The sequence below is a fragment of the Homo sapiens genome, chromosome 8 (assembly GCF_000001405.40).
Source record: "Homo sapiens chromosome 8, GRCh38.p14 Primary Assembly".
Taxonomy (NCBI): domain Eukaryota; kingdom Metazoa; phylum Chordata; class Mammalia; order Primates; family Hominidae; genus Homo; species Homo sapiens.
The window spans coordinates 91974305-91992433 of record NC_000008.11 but is presented as its reverse complement, the minus strand read 5'-3'; the positions used below and the strand labels follow the sequence as shown (position 1 = coordinate 91992433).

Genomic DNA, 18129 nt, shown 5'->3' with positions numbered 1-18129 from the left:
TTTTAAGCTTTATTTAATTTTAAGTAACTTACATTTTAAGTTAAACAACCACATGTAGCTACTGTATTGGACAACACAGTTCTTAGATATTCTCTGACACAGAAGTCAGATACCAAGTGGAATAGGTGTACCTTAAGTGTTCATCAAGAGAGTAGTGATGTTTTACCTTGATGAATCTTCATCAAATACAGTCGGTCTTAGGGTAACTTGTTAGAAATCAAGCACTGTTTTTTGAATGAAAATGTTATCTACAGGAGTCTTGAGTTTCCTCTTGTTTGTGACTTAACCACATGAGCTTCAACTGAAAAGATATTTGCTAATTTGATGAGAAGTGAAGGATTTTTTCCTGTCTGCAGGCTTGTGATCATTTAGGTCTCGACACAGGTCTCAGTGAATTCCCGTATGTTTTCTGGGAAGCTGAGTTTAGAAGGTTTCTGGCCAATAAAAAATATTCTGTTTTTATTCCAAGCTCAAATATGAGTGACTGAACTGTGCTGGTTTCTGAATAGATGATGAAACAAACTCTTGTTTTTTCCCCCTTTAGAACCAAAGAAAATGGCTTTGACAGAGAGCCTTTGCACTCAGAACATCCAAGCAAGCGACCATGCACTATTAGCCCAGGCCAGCGGTACAGTCCAAATAACGGCTTATCCTACCAGCCCAATGGCCTGCCTCACCCTACCCCACCTCCACCTCAGCATTACCGTTTGGATGATATGGCCATTGCCCACCACTACAGGGACTCCTATCGACACCCCAGCCACAGGGACCTCAGGGACAGAAACAGACCTATGGGTAAGACTGAAGGACCTGTTCACTTCTTACGGGATTGGGTGCTTGAAGACTTGCACCATTATTTCTGAACTTAACTTGAGGCTTGAAATCTGTGATAGGGATGAAGATTCTCATATCTTGCTTTATATTGTCTCCTTTATGAAAAAAACTTGATTGGTATTAATAGACTTTTAACAGCTGTACTTTCTCTCTCCTAATCACTTGTATTCTTTAAGACAGTACACTAAATTTCTTTGGAGGAGGGCATCTAGATTAATACAAGACCCTCAATTGTTGTGTTGGTAACAAATGCAAAATAAATTTTTAGCTTGAATTCTCTTTCAACATGAGACTTCATATGCAGTCTGCCTGCCACAAATATTTTTAAAAATCACTTGATTTTCTTGTGTTGTATCTTTTGTTTCAGATAGTCTCTACGTTTATTTTGATTTTTTTGAGCCTCCATGATATTCCATATTTCCAAAGTGTGATATGGCATGCTATCTGTGGCTTAACAGATGTTTCCCAAGGAATGATTTGGTACTTTTTTTTACTTGAAAATGCCAGTGATTAAAGTTAATATTGACAGTTTTGGGTCAAGGATCAGAATACTGAAGAAGAAGTGAATTTGGGCAAATATGTGTTCTATTTCCCTGTGTTCATTCCTTCTTTGCATAAAACTATTAGAAGTAAAGCATTTTGTCTGGGTGCAGTGGCTCACACCTATAATCCCAGCACTTTGGGAGGCTGACACAGATAGATGAGTTTGAGCTCAGAAGTTTGAGACCAGCCTGGGCATTATGGCAAAATCCCGTCTCTACTAAAAGTACAAAAATTAGCCGGGCATGGTGGTGCATGCCTCTAGCCCCAGCTACCTGTGGGGCTGAGGCAGGAGGATCGCTTGAGCCCAGGAAGCAGAGGTTACAGTTAGATGAGATCATGCCACTGCACCCCACACACTGCACCTCAGCCTGGGTGGCAGAGCAAGACCCTGTCTCAGAAAAAAAAAAAAAAGTAGTAAAGCATTTTGAAGACATTGCCTTCTATAGAACAAATGTCTACCATGAAAAATGAGAGAGAAGATGAACAAGGTAAGTTTTTAAACATATGATCAGTGGTTCAGTGGTGGAGATGATAGTGTATCAGAGGGTTATCAGTAAGTACACTGTTACTGGGATGTCTTCAATTCCTAATTAGTGATGAGTCTCACTGAGAGCAATAGTCAGTCTCCTCTTCTTTTTCCATCTCCTGTGTCCACATCACCCACTAACAGGACTTAATCTCTACCTTGTAACTAATTGCTGGCAAACTTTCCTGATGAGGGCGACTTAGTGACCTGGACACTGGAAAGAGCAAGGGATGAAATGCAAGTAGAAAACCAGAAAGTGGAGCTGAGGATACAGAATTCTGGGGAATGCAGCCAGCCAGATATTCACTACTTGATTACAGTGATGGTGGTTGTTTTTTTGTTTGTTTTTTTGTTTTTTTGCCACAGGCAGAGAGAGCCTAATATATAGAAGTTTACATTCAATTTCCAACTACATTGCTAGCAAACAGGGGCTCCACGTGTAGGGCCTTTTTTACCTTTCTACACCCAACTCCCCAAATGTTTAGAAAGCAGAAAGAGAGTCAGGGTGAGAGGAGGGGTGATTGAGGCTTTGGTTGTAAGACAGTAAATTAGTAGTTCTGGTTCTCCACAACAGTAATTTCTACGTTTATATAGTGTGTCAGACAAATGGCTATGCATATAATTTGTGCTTTCTTAATAGCCAGTCTGTCTAATGTTCTCGCAGGTACCATTTCTGAAGAGCTTTCAAAGGTGGTTATGCTATTTCTTGATCTGGATTGATATTTTAACCCCAAAATCAAATGTGATAACAACTCCCTTCTACACAAAGCCTTACCACTTATTTATGACTTAAGGACTGAAAACCATGATTGCATGTTTTTAAATAGCAGTGGAGTCTTCAGGTCACGGTGAGACCAGTTCAAGGGATCCCATTTTGTAGATGTGTTAGCAAATGGCCTGTTTCTTAGGCAGCAGGTGCTATTTTGTGAAATATTAGTTCCAGTGCACTATACAGTAATCAGCAAGGAAGTAATTACACTTATGTGCAATGATTATGTTTTCATCAAGTAATATAAAATATCCCTTTATGAATTATATCTGTATCCATTGGTTTTATGTGATTTTCTTCAGACCATGTTCCTTACCTTTTAATTATATTAGCTTATAAAACCAATAGTGCTAATCTCTATAAATATGTGCAGCTACTAAACCATCCCTAAAGTCTGGCAGAGTTTAGTGTGTGTTAATGTAAAATAAAATCTTGATGTATGAGCAACAAATTATGGTGTTACATCAGGCTGCCATTTTGAGAATATAAAAATTGTCATAAAGATATACTTAGTCTGGTACGATTTATAAATGCCTATTATGTGTAGGGACATATACTCACGAGAATCCTTCAGTAAAGTAACTTCTTAGCAGCATTAGTTTATAAGTAAGCTTAGAGTTTTATCCTAGTTAGTTAAAATATTCTAAAACAAAATAATCAGTTGAGACTCAACATTAGTGTCAAATTTCCCACAAATGAAAATGTGATTATGAGCTATTTAATGATTACGAGATATTTCCCCCGGTACATCCCTCTGGTATTATGACTATAAATAAAAATTGTGTGCTGCTGAATATTTAAGTATCTTAAATAGAGAAATTAATAAACATAAAATCTTGATTTATTTTTTATTTTTAAAGATTTGATTATATCTAACAAATGACTTTCAAAGTTCAAAAGCGGCAAATGAATCTTACATTTTTTCACCAAGTACTTGAGCTCAAACATGTTTCTAATGCACTTAATATTTTTTTAAAAATGAGATGAAGCTTAGTACTGTTTCACAAATGCTGAAATCCCACCACCACAGATATCCTGTTGCTCATTAATATTACTCCAGGCATTACAGCTTGTGTCATTATTGATTTCTTCTGCTGAATTTTTCAAGCTTTTGAGACCTCTGGAATTCTTGTCCTTAAAGGCAAATATTCAGATGCCTCTAACATGAAAGTCACTGTCACATTTATATCCTTATCACTTTCTGGTTGTTTTGTATGGTGACTAATTTTAACAGTAGTGGTTTTTCTCTAAAACCCAGGCAACAAATAAGTTAACAAAAATTACATATTTGCAAACATTTCAACTTGAAATAATCACAACAGAGCAGTAGCTAAATACTATTCTTTCCCAATGTCTTTATATTATGCAAATTAATAAAACATATTTGCACTTTTACTTTTTTACCAATAGGTGGCATTGACAATTTTAACTTTTAAAATATATCTCAGAATATGTTCTAATTGGACAGGAATGGTACAAAGCATCTTATATTTAGCTTTTTATTTAGTCTGAGAAGGGGCTATCATAAATTTGTTCACTTCCATCAGTTGTAAATGAAATCGTTTTATGTGGTTGGCTGAACAGTCATGTGACTCATCTTTATTTGTGTAAATCAGCTAAAAAAAGGGATTTATAACCACTTAAATCTCACAAAAAGTAAAATTCAGTGTCTTATAACTCCTATGGTCATTTAATTCTTACATAAGTTCCACAGAGAGATAGCTCAGTTATCTAGAAACCCAAACTATAAGAAACTTTATACATAAGTTCCACGAGAGGAAGCCCAGTTATCTAGAAACCAAACTATAAGAAACTCTATTTGCTGTTCAGAGTAACATTTTGAAAATTGGTAACCAAAAATAATAGTTTTGATCATTTAAAATGCAAAATAATGCCACAGCCCAGGGGCTTTTCCTATACAGTAGAATATAAAGTGAATATGTAAGAGGAATAACACGTTTCCAGATTTCTCTGTTCGGAGCCTTTCAGCCTCTCTTTTTAGTGAGACACATTTACTTCCTATTTTAATGAGCATCCTAGCTAACCGCTTAATTAATATTGGTGCTCACTTGGTAAACACTTATGTATTACTTTTTCATGGACTTCAAATTAGGATTTTCAGTTGGTTCACTTGGATTTATGATATTTGTCAAATTATATCTGGTATATTAATTTTTTTTTGAAGAATATCCAATTTACTTTTATTTTTTAATTTTTGGTAAACTGAATGAGTATATGTAGCTCCATATTATACAAGCCTTTTCTTCATGGTCTAATTTTATCACGGAGGTATATGTATTAGGATTGTATTCATTTACACAAGGCTGACATGTAGAAAAATTTACCATGCTTGTTTTGGGAAAGCATAACCCTTCCTATGTAAAATGACTTATGCTGTCTTTATTTTTAATGCAGGACAGCAATGCTTTAAAAACCACTTAATGTCTACTTGTGGTTTCTTGTATTTATTAAGAGTTAGAATATATTTTTACTTACAGAGTGTTGCATGGATAACTAGTTGTGGAGTTGGTGTCACTTAACTGTCTCCTTATGTGTAAAATAAAGGCTTCTGACCAGGTGACCTCTAAAATTCCTTCTAGTTCTAGTATTTTATCATTCTATGAGGAATCTGTTAGGTAATTCTGAATCTAAATATGACTCATGTCTCCATCCAAAATCAAACGTATTTTTACATCGAGTTTGCCCACATAGTCCTTGCTATGAGTCTGTGTGTTTATGGGTTGTGTACTGAATGCTTTAGGGTTATTCAGCCTTCTCTATTTTTGTAGGGTTGCATGGCACACGTCAAGAAGAAATGATTGATCACAGACTAACAGACAGAGAATGGGCAGAAGAGTGGAAACATCTTGACCATGTAAGACATCAGTAATCATTTGGGATTAAAAAATGTTTGGAAAACAACTGGAGTGAGGTTATGTGATAAAATAAAAGCTTGGTGATCCTTTGAAGGCATTGTTTTTCCTGCTATCCTTGAAAAAAAAATGAGCGAGAATATCTGAAGTAGAATATAGGATTTGATTTCTAAATTGATATGAAAGTCACTTGAGAGAAATGTTTAGATCTTGGAAAGGAATTCTCAAAGCCAGATCGGTGGGCTACTGTTCTATTGTGAAAAGGTCATTTAATTTATAAAGTAATGGGATTAGTATTTGGAGAGGTGGATTTACTGGCTATAATGCCTTCAGGTGAAATTTCCCTTCTGACTCGTGTTCATAACACTTATCTTCTCATTCCCATTGAATTTTCCATCTATTGGCTCTGAATTTCAAATCTAGTCATAGAAAATACTAGACTGAAACCTTCAGGGATAAAATTGCTTCCTTCATTGTCCTGAAATGGTTTGTTTCACTACTCAGCAAAATCTTTAATTGTGATGATTTATATGCTCTTCCCTATTCTCCCCTTTCCCAAATAGCTGTTAAACTGCATAATGGACATGGTAGAAAAAACAAGGCGATCTCTCACCGTACTAAGGCGGTGTCAAGAAGCAGACCGGGAAGAATTGAATTACTGGATCCGGCGGTACAGTGACGCCGAGGACTTAAAAAAAGGTGGCGGCAGTAGCAGCAGCCACTCTAGGCAGCAGAGTCCCGTCAACCCAGACCCAGTTGCACTAGGTAACTTTTCTTCAGATGAGTATCTCGAAAACACATATTTCTTATGCTGTTAATGCTGACTTCATTTTTATTTTTAAAATTAAAGGATATGCAAGGAATTTTAAGACAATAAACAATTTACATATCCTCCAATATGTCTTGTCTATCTGTTAGGAATTTGGGCAGATTGGCATAGACAGAGATAGCCACAAAACTTAAATTCCTTTTCCAGGTGAGTGTATTGAGCTGATGGCAGCGTTTCAGCACTGAACCAGATTTTCATGTGCATAACTAAAACTTGTGCTCCTTCGTAATGCCTCAAAACAGCAAAAACAATCTCAGGGAGTGGGCCTGGGGCTTAGGCACTTCCGTCAAGGTCTCTAGTGAATTCTGCCACTGCATACCAATGTTATCACTGCACATGGGGATGTATGTTTCAAATTATTAATTCAGAAAACAGCCTGTAAGACAATCTTGTTAGTTGAATCATATATATATATATTTATATTTTAAACTTTTTTCTCAACCCCCCGCCTCCAGGAAGAGAGACCTAGAAGCTATATATTTTGCCTACAGCTATTTTAAAATTAATGATAAAGATGTAGCACCCTTCCTGTGATTTGATCTTAACTTAGATTACTTAATCATGATTATATTAATTCTAGTTTTATCTAGTTTTATAATAGGACTCATAATATAGTTGTGCCTTAGAAATGGAATGTTAGTATGTAACTATTTCTTATTGATATTTGGGAATTGTTGGGGTTACAGATAGAATATAATCCCATATATGTTGAAAGAAATCTTCAACCTGAAAGAATTTTTGTGTGGCCTGTGAACTTTTACCTAAATTAATAATACGGTTTTGTCATTGACATTGCCACCCATTACGTGTGAATACTTTTTGAGTAAACTTACGAAGGTGGATTTCTGTGGATTCTTGTTCTCTCATATTATCTTATGCGTTGGCCCCATACCCATCTGCTAACTCAAGTTACTGTCCATGCTGCAAAACGTGCAGATTAAGTTCATAATTTTGGCCTCATTAGTACCATGGCTGATTATCCAAAGTTTAAAACTTGAAGTATATTATCTGTTGATCACATTACTGTTTTCAATTTGTTCCCAGCCAGTGTAGTTTCCTATGCACTTAGGTTTGTAGATTTCTGCTGATCTCTGAATGCCGAATGCCTATTATCATAAGTATTAAATAATGAAAGAGTCTAAGGCAGTTAATTTACCTAACAAGCATTATTCTGAAGCATATTTTAAAAACAAAATTGTATTTGTCAGGTCACATTAAGGCAAGCAACGAAAACAGAATTACGTTTGGTTTGAGCCAATATTGGTCGAAGCCAAACTATTTAGAGCAGAGTGGAAAAAAAAATCTTGTGTTTATTTCCTTATTATGAACAAAAATTGATTAATCATCAGAGATTTGCTTAGGACAGAGGGGATATTTATAACCGTCCAGTCTAGGCAAAAATTGAGAGCTTTAAAGTAAATAAAACTTAGGGAGTTAAAACATCTAGTTTGGCTTATTCTATTGAACACATTCATTGAGTCAGTACTTATTTATTGAGCACTTACTATGTGCCAGGCAATGTGCTAGGCATTCTAATGAAGGAAAAAGTCTTCATTTCTTTCTTTGAGGGCCTTTGGGTCTAGTGGAAGAAGGCAAGGGAATAGCTAGTGTTCAAGCCATAGGATAGCTACCTCAATTCAGTCGGCCAAACTGACCAGATTGCTATTATCTGCCATCCACTATAAAAGAAACATCTCCGAAATTGATCAGACTTCATACCTAAGCGAGTTATCAGCACATAGAACAAGGGCCATTTTGTGTATAGTCACTACTACTACACACAGATTCTGGTGATATAGGTATATATCATGTTCTCCAGGAAGAGAGGTTCATTGTCCCTGCTACATAACCAAAAGAATAAACTTGGTTTAAAAAAACTCCTTTTTAAAAGTATACAAACTATACTATTTTTTAGTGATGTTCAATGGATTTATATTTTTGTTAAACCTGAGATATTTGTTTGGCCTTAAGCTTTTGTAGGTTGTATTAGTCAAAGGGTACAAGCATTTAATTTCTTTGTTTATAGACAACATTAAGACATTATGTTCTTTATTGTCACAGAATCCTAAGTTGCCATTAAGACACTATCATAACTTTAGAGAAAATCTGTGTAGAACTCTGCAGTGTGCAAGTTTTAGCATCCAGTAGTGCTTTTACAGTTTTTTTTCACTGTGCATCCTTACTAGCTGATTCTTGCAGCCTTGTGTACTATTTTCTGGGACTGAGCTATGGCTGTAAATAAGAGGACAGGTGGTTTGTAATTATGGGCCACAATCATTTACATTAAGTGCTTTCTAAGTCCCTCTTCCAGGCTTTGGAGTTGAATGGATTGATGTGTGTAATGAAAGGATTGGAGATTATTGGCTGATAAATCTATTTTCTGTGACTGGGAAGTGTTTAATGGAGTGCATGTGCGCAGATAAAGATATGGATATGTCTATATCTTTATATACATTTAGATCTCCGTATCCCACAGTTGTATGTATTTCTTTTAGCCTAATTATTTTGCTTCTTAAACTACTGTCTGGTCTCAAATGAGATCTTCAGAATATATTATAGAAGATATCTTTGGTTCAAAATATTGCCCTACTTATATCCCTAACTTGGAAACACTGGGAACGTTTAGTCATACACACATTCTTAGCATTTTAAAATTATATTTGGGGACTGCACAGGGGAGAATGTAACTTTCATGATTGATGTGTTGTACCTGTTAAACTCAATCCCATTCTCACTTTTGAAATATATCTGTAGTATTGAGTGAGTATAGGGGGTTAGTAAAATAACTCGATTAATCTATTACTAATTGAATTTTAAGAGTTTTCCTGGCTGGGCACAGTGGCTCACACCTGTAATCCAAGCACTTTGGGAGGCCGAGGCAGACGGATCACGAGGTCGGGGGTTGGAGACCAGCCTGGCCAACATGGTGAAACCCCTTCTCTACTAAAGATACAAAAAAAAAAAATTAGCCAGGCATGGTGGCGCATGCCTGTAATCCCAGCTACTCGGGAGGCTGAGGCAGGAGAGTCACCTGAACCTGGGAGGCAGAGGTTGCAGTGAGCCGAGATCACGCCATTGCACTCGAGCCTAGACGACAGGGCAAGACTCTGTCTCCAAAAAAAAAAAAAAAAAAAAAAAAAAGTATTTTCCTAAGATATTAAAATCTCTTTTTTGAATAACCTCTGACTGAAACAATTTTTAACACTGAGTATACACTGAATTCATAATGGTATTTCTATTCTTTAAATAAAATGCAAGTTGACATCTTGAAGGACTTTTCATAAAATAGATTTTCTTGAAATAATAGATATTTATCGTTTTTACTGTTGTTACTCATTTACTTTCCAGGGAAAACTCCAAGTATCCAACTCTTAACAAAATTAGAAAGCAAATTTTAACACTGCTGTCTCTATTTTCAAAGTATGACTTATTTATACATTTAAGTTTTATTACATGGTATGCTCCACAGAAGAGCAAGATAATGTGATCAGAATTGACAGATTTGACCATTGAAGTAGAATTACTTTTATATGTATAGAAAGGCAGTTGCTGGTTAGCACTTTGTATGTTTTCCGAAGTGCTTGTCAGAATCTCCTTAGTAGCTCTTTTTCCTTTCTTTGTCTTTGGTTCCTTTTTCTCTCAGAATGTTGTCACATCACTTTCTTGGCTCCTGACATTTTATTTCTTTTAAACTACTTTCCTTTTTACTGGCTTTTGACTATTCTAGAATCTTTCTGTAGTTTGTCTTGTATCTGTGTGCGCTCTTTTTGTTTTCTAGAAGTCTTCCACATCGTTAGGGTTAATTTTTTTTTTTTTTTTTTTTGAGACAGGGTCTCACTTTGTTGCTCAGGGTGGAGTGTGGTGGCATAATCTCGGCTCACTGCAGCCTTGACCTTCTGGGCTCCCACCTCAGCCCCCTAAGTAATTGGGACTACAGGTAGACCACCACCACACCCAGCTAATTTTTTTGTATTTTTTGTAGGAGTGGGGTTTTGCCGTATTGCCCAGTCTGGTTTTGAACTCCTGAGCTCAAGGGATCTGCCTACCTCGGCCTCCCAAAGTGCTAGGATTACAGGCGTGATCCACTGTACCTGGCCAAAATTTTTTTCTAATGATAGGTTTAGGGCTAATGTCAGGGGCTGGACATAAACTCTGAAATATAAATGCACTTTCCCTGTGCTTTTAAAACATGTATGAACATTGTGATGACATGGTAGTAAATTTAGAAAAATACCTTCACTCTGTTTTGTTAAGAGTTTAGTATTTGCCAGAGAAAGAAATATCAAAAAGTTTTGTTTGTTTAAGTGTAATGAAAAATCAAGCTTAGCATTTATAAGAAACTTAGAGCCAGGAGTGTTGGCTGACGCCTGTAATCCCAGCACTTGGGGAGGCCGAGGCGGGCAGATCATGAGGTCAGGATATCGAGATCATCCTGGCTAACACGGTGAAACCCCGTCTATGCTAAAAATAAAAAAAATTAGCCAGATAATGGTGGTGCACCCCTGTAGTCCCAGCTACTCGGGAGGCTGAGGCCGGAGTATTGCTTGAACCCTGGAGGAGGAGGTTGCAGTGAGCCAAGATTGTGCCACTGTACTCCAGCCTGGAGGACAGAGCGAGACTGCCTCAAAAAAAAAAAAAAAAAAAAAAAAAAAAAAGCTTAGTAACTTAGGAGTTTGTTGAATTAATACCATCCCCTGTCCCAAGTGGGTTGGTAGAGGAATTAGTATTTTAAAATACTGCTAGCTGGCAAGTTTTATGATTGTCATATGATTGAATTATGGAATTTCTCATTGCTCTCTAAATCCCCGGGAAATCTAGCATGAAGACTGAAAGCACAAACTCAGTCAGTAGAATTTCTAGATTCGAATTACTCATTCCTCTTCATATTAGTTTTGTGGCCTTTGGCAGGTCATAATCTCTTTGTGCTTCAGTTTCCTCGTGTAAAATGGGGATGGTAATATATATTTCATAAGCATTTCTGTATAATGAGTTAATAGGTAAAAACATATGAGACAGTGCCTGACACATAGTAGAAGTGTTATGTCTTAGCTGTTATTTAGATGTGCATTCTCAAAAAGAACTTTCTGCTGGGAGTAGAAGTGTCTCATGCCTATAATCCCAGCACTTTGGGAGGCTGAGGTGAGAGGATCCCTTGAGTCCAGGAGTTTGAGACCAGCCTGGAAAACATAGTGAGACCCCATCTCTACCAAAAATCAAAAAATTAGCTGGGCATGATGGTGCATGCCTGTGGTCCCAGTTGCTCAGGAGGCTAAGATGGGAGGATTCCTTGAGCCCAGGAGGTCAAAGTGACAGTGAGCCACGTTTATGCCACTGCCCCGCAGCCTGGGCAACAGAGCAAGACCTTGTCTCAAAATATAAAATTAAAAAATTTAAAACATAAAATCAAAAAGAACTTTAAAGAATAGTGGTAAATGAAACTAGTAAAGTTTTTCCTTGGCATTCAAGATTGTGAAGTTACAGTGGATTCATAAGTATTTTTTCATCTACAAAGTACTTCTAAGCAGGTGGCTTCTTTAATAGGCACAGAGATTAGAAAAGATTCCTGTCTTAAATGTAGTAAATCTGTTGTACCTTTGGGACCCTAATTCATAATACAAGGCTATGGAAAAATAGATTTCTCCCAGCCAATGAAATATTTCAACTTCTATACTCTCAAAATATGAAAACCACAAACAAGTTATTCTGTGTATATTTGCATGTAAATGTTTGGAGTTTTGTACCCTTGTATTGATTTCTTTAAATCACATCATGAAATTAATCTCACAGTCATTCAGCTGACTTCATAATGCAAATGCCTACTGTACTTAACTATATTGGGTTTAAAAATATGGGACTATTAGTTAAATATGTCCATCTTTTAAAATTAAGAGGAGATGGTTACTTCCTGGAGCATTAAGTATGTTTGTTGTAAAAGATGGAAATCCTAAAGCAGTTGCTAGCTTCTAGGTTGGATTTGGGCTTCTGAAACCTAGTGTGAAGATTTCTGAATGTATTATCCTTAAAAACAAGTGGCATTTGTAAAGATAAAATTACTTAACTCTTTCTTTCTTTTGATGGTTTTTGTAATAGATATTATCATGATCACAGCCTCATTCTGCCCACTACAGGATGAAGGCCATACCTAGGTGCTGCCCAGCTTTGAGCATTGCTGTCCTGGGTCATATGAGGTCACATTGCTTCTCCAAAGGCTATCAGCTCATCCCTTCATGTATATTGATGGCGGCCCTTGCAGTATCTAGTATCCAATGGTCTCCATCCTGTCGTAAGTGTAGTGCATCTTCCATCTCTTTCATACATCATAGATTGCTCTTTCTGTTCTTTCACATTTCTTACACCATTTTCTGTCACTCTGACCTGGTCTCCTCTCTTCATAGATGTGAATTATTTTCAAGAGGCTCCCTTCATCCTCATCCACTCTCACCACCACCCCCCGCCCCAAGCAATTTGCATCCCAAAGCAAGCTAGACTTAATTTAGAAGGACTTTTCTATAATGTTTTCATCTTTCAGTAGTTGCATATATATATACGTTTAACATTTTAGACCATATCATAGACGTTCTTCTGTCTTTGCATCTACCACTACATTTTAGAATGATGATTCCTTTTTCTAGCAATTGATATTTTATAGGTACTTAAGAGTTAACGGGTAAGAATTAGCTTCTTTTGAATCTAAGCCTTAGAATCTTAGGATGTTTTAGGTAGATGTGTTTAGATTAGCCAGTATTCTAAAATAGTAAAGTCCTAGGAGAGAATTGTCCCTTGTTTTGTTTTTCAAACTCAGTTTTCCCTATATAGATTTTGATATTGCTGCTGCTTAATCAGAAGAGGAGATATTAAATGTATTAGTCATTTGGTTTCTGAATCTATTAAAGTAGTGTTTATCAAGGTATCAAATAGATTTCTGAGGAGTATACCTACTACCAATCACTCTGTTCTTTCTGTTGGTAGACCTGATGTTTATCAAGTACACTAACTTAGAACTGGAGAGGATATTGTAAAACACGTTTATATAATTATTTCCCTTTAGATTCTGCTATTTTGAAAAACTGTCTTTTAGAAGGTAGGTTAGCATTAAGAAAACTTTTGCATAATTGGCTTTAGCATTTCTATTGGGTTTCTATGTCAGTTAAAGTTTGGGCCTATGTGGACATGGCAGTATGTCAGTGAGAAATTTAGGAAGGTATAGCCAAAGTGAAACATTGCACAACTTTCCAGTGTGGTATATGTACCCCCAAGACACCTGTGCAGCCCATAGAAGGTGGAAGGTCAATTGAGCCTGGCACGTTAATATTTGAGTCAATTTGGGTGTTATAAACATTCATGGGTGAGGCTCAAGTAAAATTTTTGAAAGTGTCATCTAAGAAATTTGAAGATTTTGCTTCCAAGGACAAAGGCAGTGAATTGTGAACTATAGAAATATTTTCTATTTCCAAGTGACATAGATTCTGGGAGTTTAAAAAATTACTTGGTGTATATTGCTTAATCCAAACTTCTTCAATGGCTTTGTTCTCTTCAAAATTTGTGGTATTTGGATTTTTAACATTGAGAGAAAAGATAAACTTTAAAAGGAAATAATTATATAGCCATTCTTACTAGACCACATAGTAAGTAATAATAATGATAATAATGAGGATAATAGCAAGTACCAGATAATGGGAGTTTAGGATGTGTATGTAATAGGAGGTACTTCCTTCAATCTTCACAGCAGTGCTCTCAAATAATAGTAGTATTGTCCTCACTTTATTATAGATGAGGCATCTGAGACATGGACAAACTAACATACCCAGTGTTCCATGGTCAATAGCTAGCTTCACTGGGTGCTAGAACTAACTTTCTTCAGCCTATGTTGCCTGGGGCTGGTAATTAGCATCTTTCATGCATGGACTTTGGATACCTAAACATTACCTTTCCTGTTCTTTATCATAATGATTGACTATTTAATAAAAAAAAAATGTTTATAGGCTGGGCATGGTGGCTCACACCTGTAATTCCAGCACTTTGGGAGGTCAGGTGACCTGACGTCAGAAGTTTGAGACCAGCCTGGCCAACATGGTGAAACCCCATCTCTACTAAAAATATACAGGTTAGCTGGGCTTGGTGGCATGCACCTGTAATCCGAGCTACTCGGGAGGCTGAGGCAGGAGATTCTCTTGACCTGGGAGGCACAGGTTGCAGTGAGCTGTGATCGTGCCACTGCACTCCAGCCTGGGCAATGAGCATGACTCCGTCTCAAAAAAAGAAAAAAGAAAAAAATAAGTTTTTATTAACTACAGGTCTCTTCTTAACACAATAAATGAAAAAAAAATTGCTACTTTGAAGTCACGTTTTTTTCTTTCTTCAAACTTTACAGATCTGTTCTTATTCTTATCCAATAAATTATGCTTAAATCCAAGTCTTTTCTCCTTAAAAGTTGTCTTTTAATGTCATAAGTAAATCTCTGTGTTGTACTGTGTCACATGGCTAAATATGAACTTGATTGCACTTTATTTCTTCTGGAAATAGTTATAGTGGTAAGGAAGATAATCTTGATAAATCTAATTAGCTGTATCACATTTCCTTTTAGGTTGTTTATGCAGCAGTTTTATCTCGCCTTAAGAATGAAAGTTACTTCAGTAAAAACGTTTTTATTTTTGTCATTTACTTTATAGAAATGAATATACACAGGAGAATGCATAGATATTTCCAGTCCATCCTATTATTAAGTAGTCATGACATCACAGTGTAAACTTTTGAAAATAAACTTTTAAATATTTGGAATAATTTTAGATTAAAAAATTGCAAAGATGATATAGTTTCCATATATTCCTCACCAAGCTGTAGTAAATTTTTGCTAATTCAGAATAGTTGAGAAAATCTAATGTTCTTGCCAGTTGATAATCTGTGTGCCCTGCAAGAATTCAAAGCATTCAAATGTATTTAAAGCATTCAAATGTAACAACATATACTTAGCTAAACTCATCGTGCTTTTCTTTATTTTTGACATTGTGTAGCACCATAAAATATAGGAGACTGGACTAAATGTCTTCATCTTCAACATAACCATTAGATAAAGCATTTAAAAATATATGCTACTCAACATTTACTGTACACATAGAGAAAATTTCAGTTTTCCTCAGAATTTATCATGGGCTTATTAATTAAGTTTTATAAAAGTTAAAATGATTTTTTTCTTACCGAACTCTTCTATATAAGGAGGCTTTTATTGAAAATCCAATATGGAAGACATGAAATGCATATTTTAGCTATGGAAGACGGTATACACTTTGTTTACTTTTGAGCATATGTAAGAACTATAAAATGTTTTGTGTTAATTCCATGAACATATTTTAGAAGTTAGCATTCCTATATCAAAGTTATTAGTTGTTTTCTTAAACTTTTAAAATTTGAGACGCCTAGTAAGCACAGCATTTAATTTAAAGTGGAACTTCATTTCCTTTTCTGGAAAGCATGGGCTAATTCTCTCTGCTCAACAGAATGTCTGTGAATCCATTCTGATGAGTCTTTCTGGCTTTCACGTATGTCAAATCCATATGATCTAATTTGTGTGAAAAATTTTAATGGTCACTGAGATTTTTAAGAATTAAGTATGAGAACTGGTTAGCCATAGAGTGGAGCTTGCTATTCATTGAAAGGTGGCAGAATCAGAGCTCTGTGGAAATTACATTACCTGAACATTTGATTGTTTAACCACCAGTTTGACTCATGAAAGGAAAACTACCAAATACAATTTATATTCCTTAACAAAATATATCTATAGAAGTCTCCATAGTCAGAAAGTGCTGAGAACAGTGTTCCCAAACATCATATTGTATAATGAAATCAAGTTGCTTTGGCTTTGAGCATGCATGGCATTTAGACCAATGACCCTCTGTTTTCCTTGGGCTCTGATGACAGGCCTTGCTATTTTTATGTGTTTTCAAGAAGTGAAATGTTTAGCCTTTTAAAATTGCGTTTTTGTAGAGAAGCCAGGAGAATGGGCATTGCTTACTTTCACTCTGTGCGATGACACAAGTGTGCTTACAGTACTCTCCTCCTCTCTCCACCCCCTTCCCATCCTTTTCATAGACGCGCATCGGGAATTCCTTCACAGGCCTGCGTCTGGATACGTGCCAGAGGAGATCTGGAAGAAAGCTGGTAAGAATTGTTTAAAAACATGAGTTTCGTGTTCTGGCAGCTGTGTGCAGTTGTTAATGTAGTGATGTGAGGAATGACAAGAAAGGACTTTACTGCTAACAACAACAACAGCAAAAACAAAACAAAACAAAAAAAACCACTAAACAAAACACCTGATTAATATTCTTAAACCAGGCCTGATTACAAGATGAAATCATTTTTATTTTAGTAACATCTGCCAGTTTCACTATAATTGAGAAGCTGGCAATATTTCCATTATAAAACTCCATTTTTTTCAGGGCCATAATGATTTCAGGCTGAAACTTGGCATAGGAGGTCTTAGCTTGCATGCATTTTTTTCTTTGATGAAAAAATTCCAGTGTCTTAGAAATTAAATTGCATACTTCAGCCTTTTCTCCTGCATCCAAAAAAAAAAAAAACGAAACCAACATCAAATCTAGTTGACTTGTTAAAGTACTCAGATAATTTTTTGGTTACAATCGACTTTTAAAGTTGTTCTTCTGTACTAATTAGTATTCAACGATCAGAGCTAAATTACTCTTTAAGTGAAATGACAAAGTTACTAAACATTTATTTTTGCTTTTCATATACACTATCTGCTTTCCATTACAAGATGCTGCTCTATATTTTGTAATAGTAGATTTAAAGCTCCTCATGACCCACTGACTTGTTATTGGGCTTAAAGAAGTCCAGATCTGTGAGAATTTTGGTGGAACCACCTAGCAAGCAAAAACCTTTATGAAAACCAACTCAGGAGATGAAACATAAACCTGTTTCAAGAGTTAAAGAGGCCATGAAAAACATACTGTGGCTTTCAGCTGCTGTAACTCCAGCTCTTAAAACAGTTTGTCTTTTTGAGTTGGGAAACTGGGAAATGCTACTTCTACAAACAGTGCAAATTGAAGAGTCAGGGGACAGATTTTTTGTTTTTTTCTACAGAAGATTTCTCTTTGGGATTTCACTCAGCTGTGTTTGTAGTTCTGTGTAACTTGCTGACTCTCTAGTCACATGTATCTTATCCAAGTATTTTTATACATTTTCCAAGAAATACCTGTTTTTGTAAGAGTGATAATGAGCTTTAAAATCTGATAGCATTCTAGGTTTAGTAGCCCAGATTAAGAATTAGAAAGCTGTCTTGCACGTCCAATACGCAAATTAGATAGGTCCATTTAGCTTAAAGGTTAAAATACATATGTTGCTGAACTGTGTAGTTTTACCAGATTTACTGTAATAGTCATGTAGTATTCCCAAGCTGTTAAAAATATGCCAAGTACCACCTACCTGAAAAGACGGGCAACATCTTCCTTCTGACCATTTTTCTCTTCCATTTCTAAGCTGTCAGTGCAACTTATTCCAATAAGAGGTACAAATAATTGTGATTTTGGACAGAAGAAGGGTGACTTTATGTTCAGAGGAGTGAGTCTTTTCTCTGCACTTCCCTTTTTAAGTATATTTAAGTTAAATTCTTGATAGTTCATAGAGAAAAATTACCAGTAAGGTCTTGTGTAATCCGAATTCTTTTTGTGCTATTATCTGCTCAAGTCTTTGTTTGACTGCTATTAAGTGAGAATAGATTTTTCTGAATATAGCACCTTTGTTG

General features: G+C 36.0%; 1 protein-coding gene across 27 annotated transcripts in view; it reads left to right on the top strand.

The window, feature by feature from the left end:
- Window positions 1-18129, top strand: part of RUNX1T1 (RUNX1 partner transcriptional co-repressor 1) — a 148419-nt gene that overhangs the window by 110952 nt on the left and 19338 nt on the right. For 23 of the 27 annotated variants that reach the window (XM_047422373.1, XM_024447318.2, XM_011517351.3 and 20 more), the window contains 4 exons: window positions 545-795; window positions 5462-5547; window positions 6109-6310; window positions 16461-16529. In XM_047422373.1, coding sequence (XP_047278329.1) covers window positions 545-795; window positions 5462-5547; window positions 6109-6310; window positions 16461-16529 — 608 coding nt within the window. Of the gene's footprint in view, window positions 1-544; window positions 796-5461; window positions 5548-6108; window positions 6311-12502; window positions 16530-18129 lie in introns of those variants that run through there. The other 4 variants (XM_047422374.1, XM_017013938.2, XM_047422375.1 and 1 more) reach the window with 2 other exon arrangements.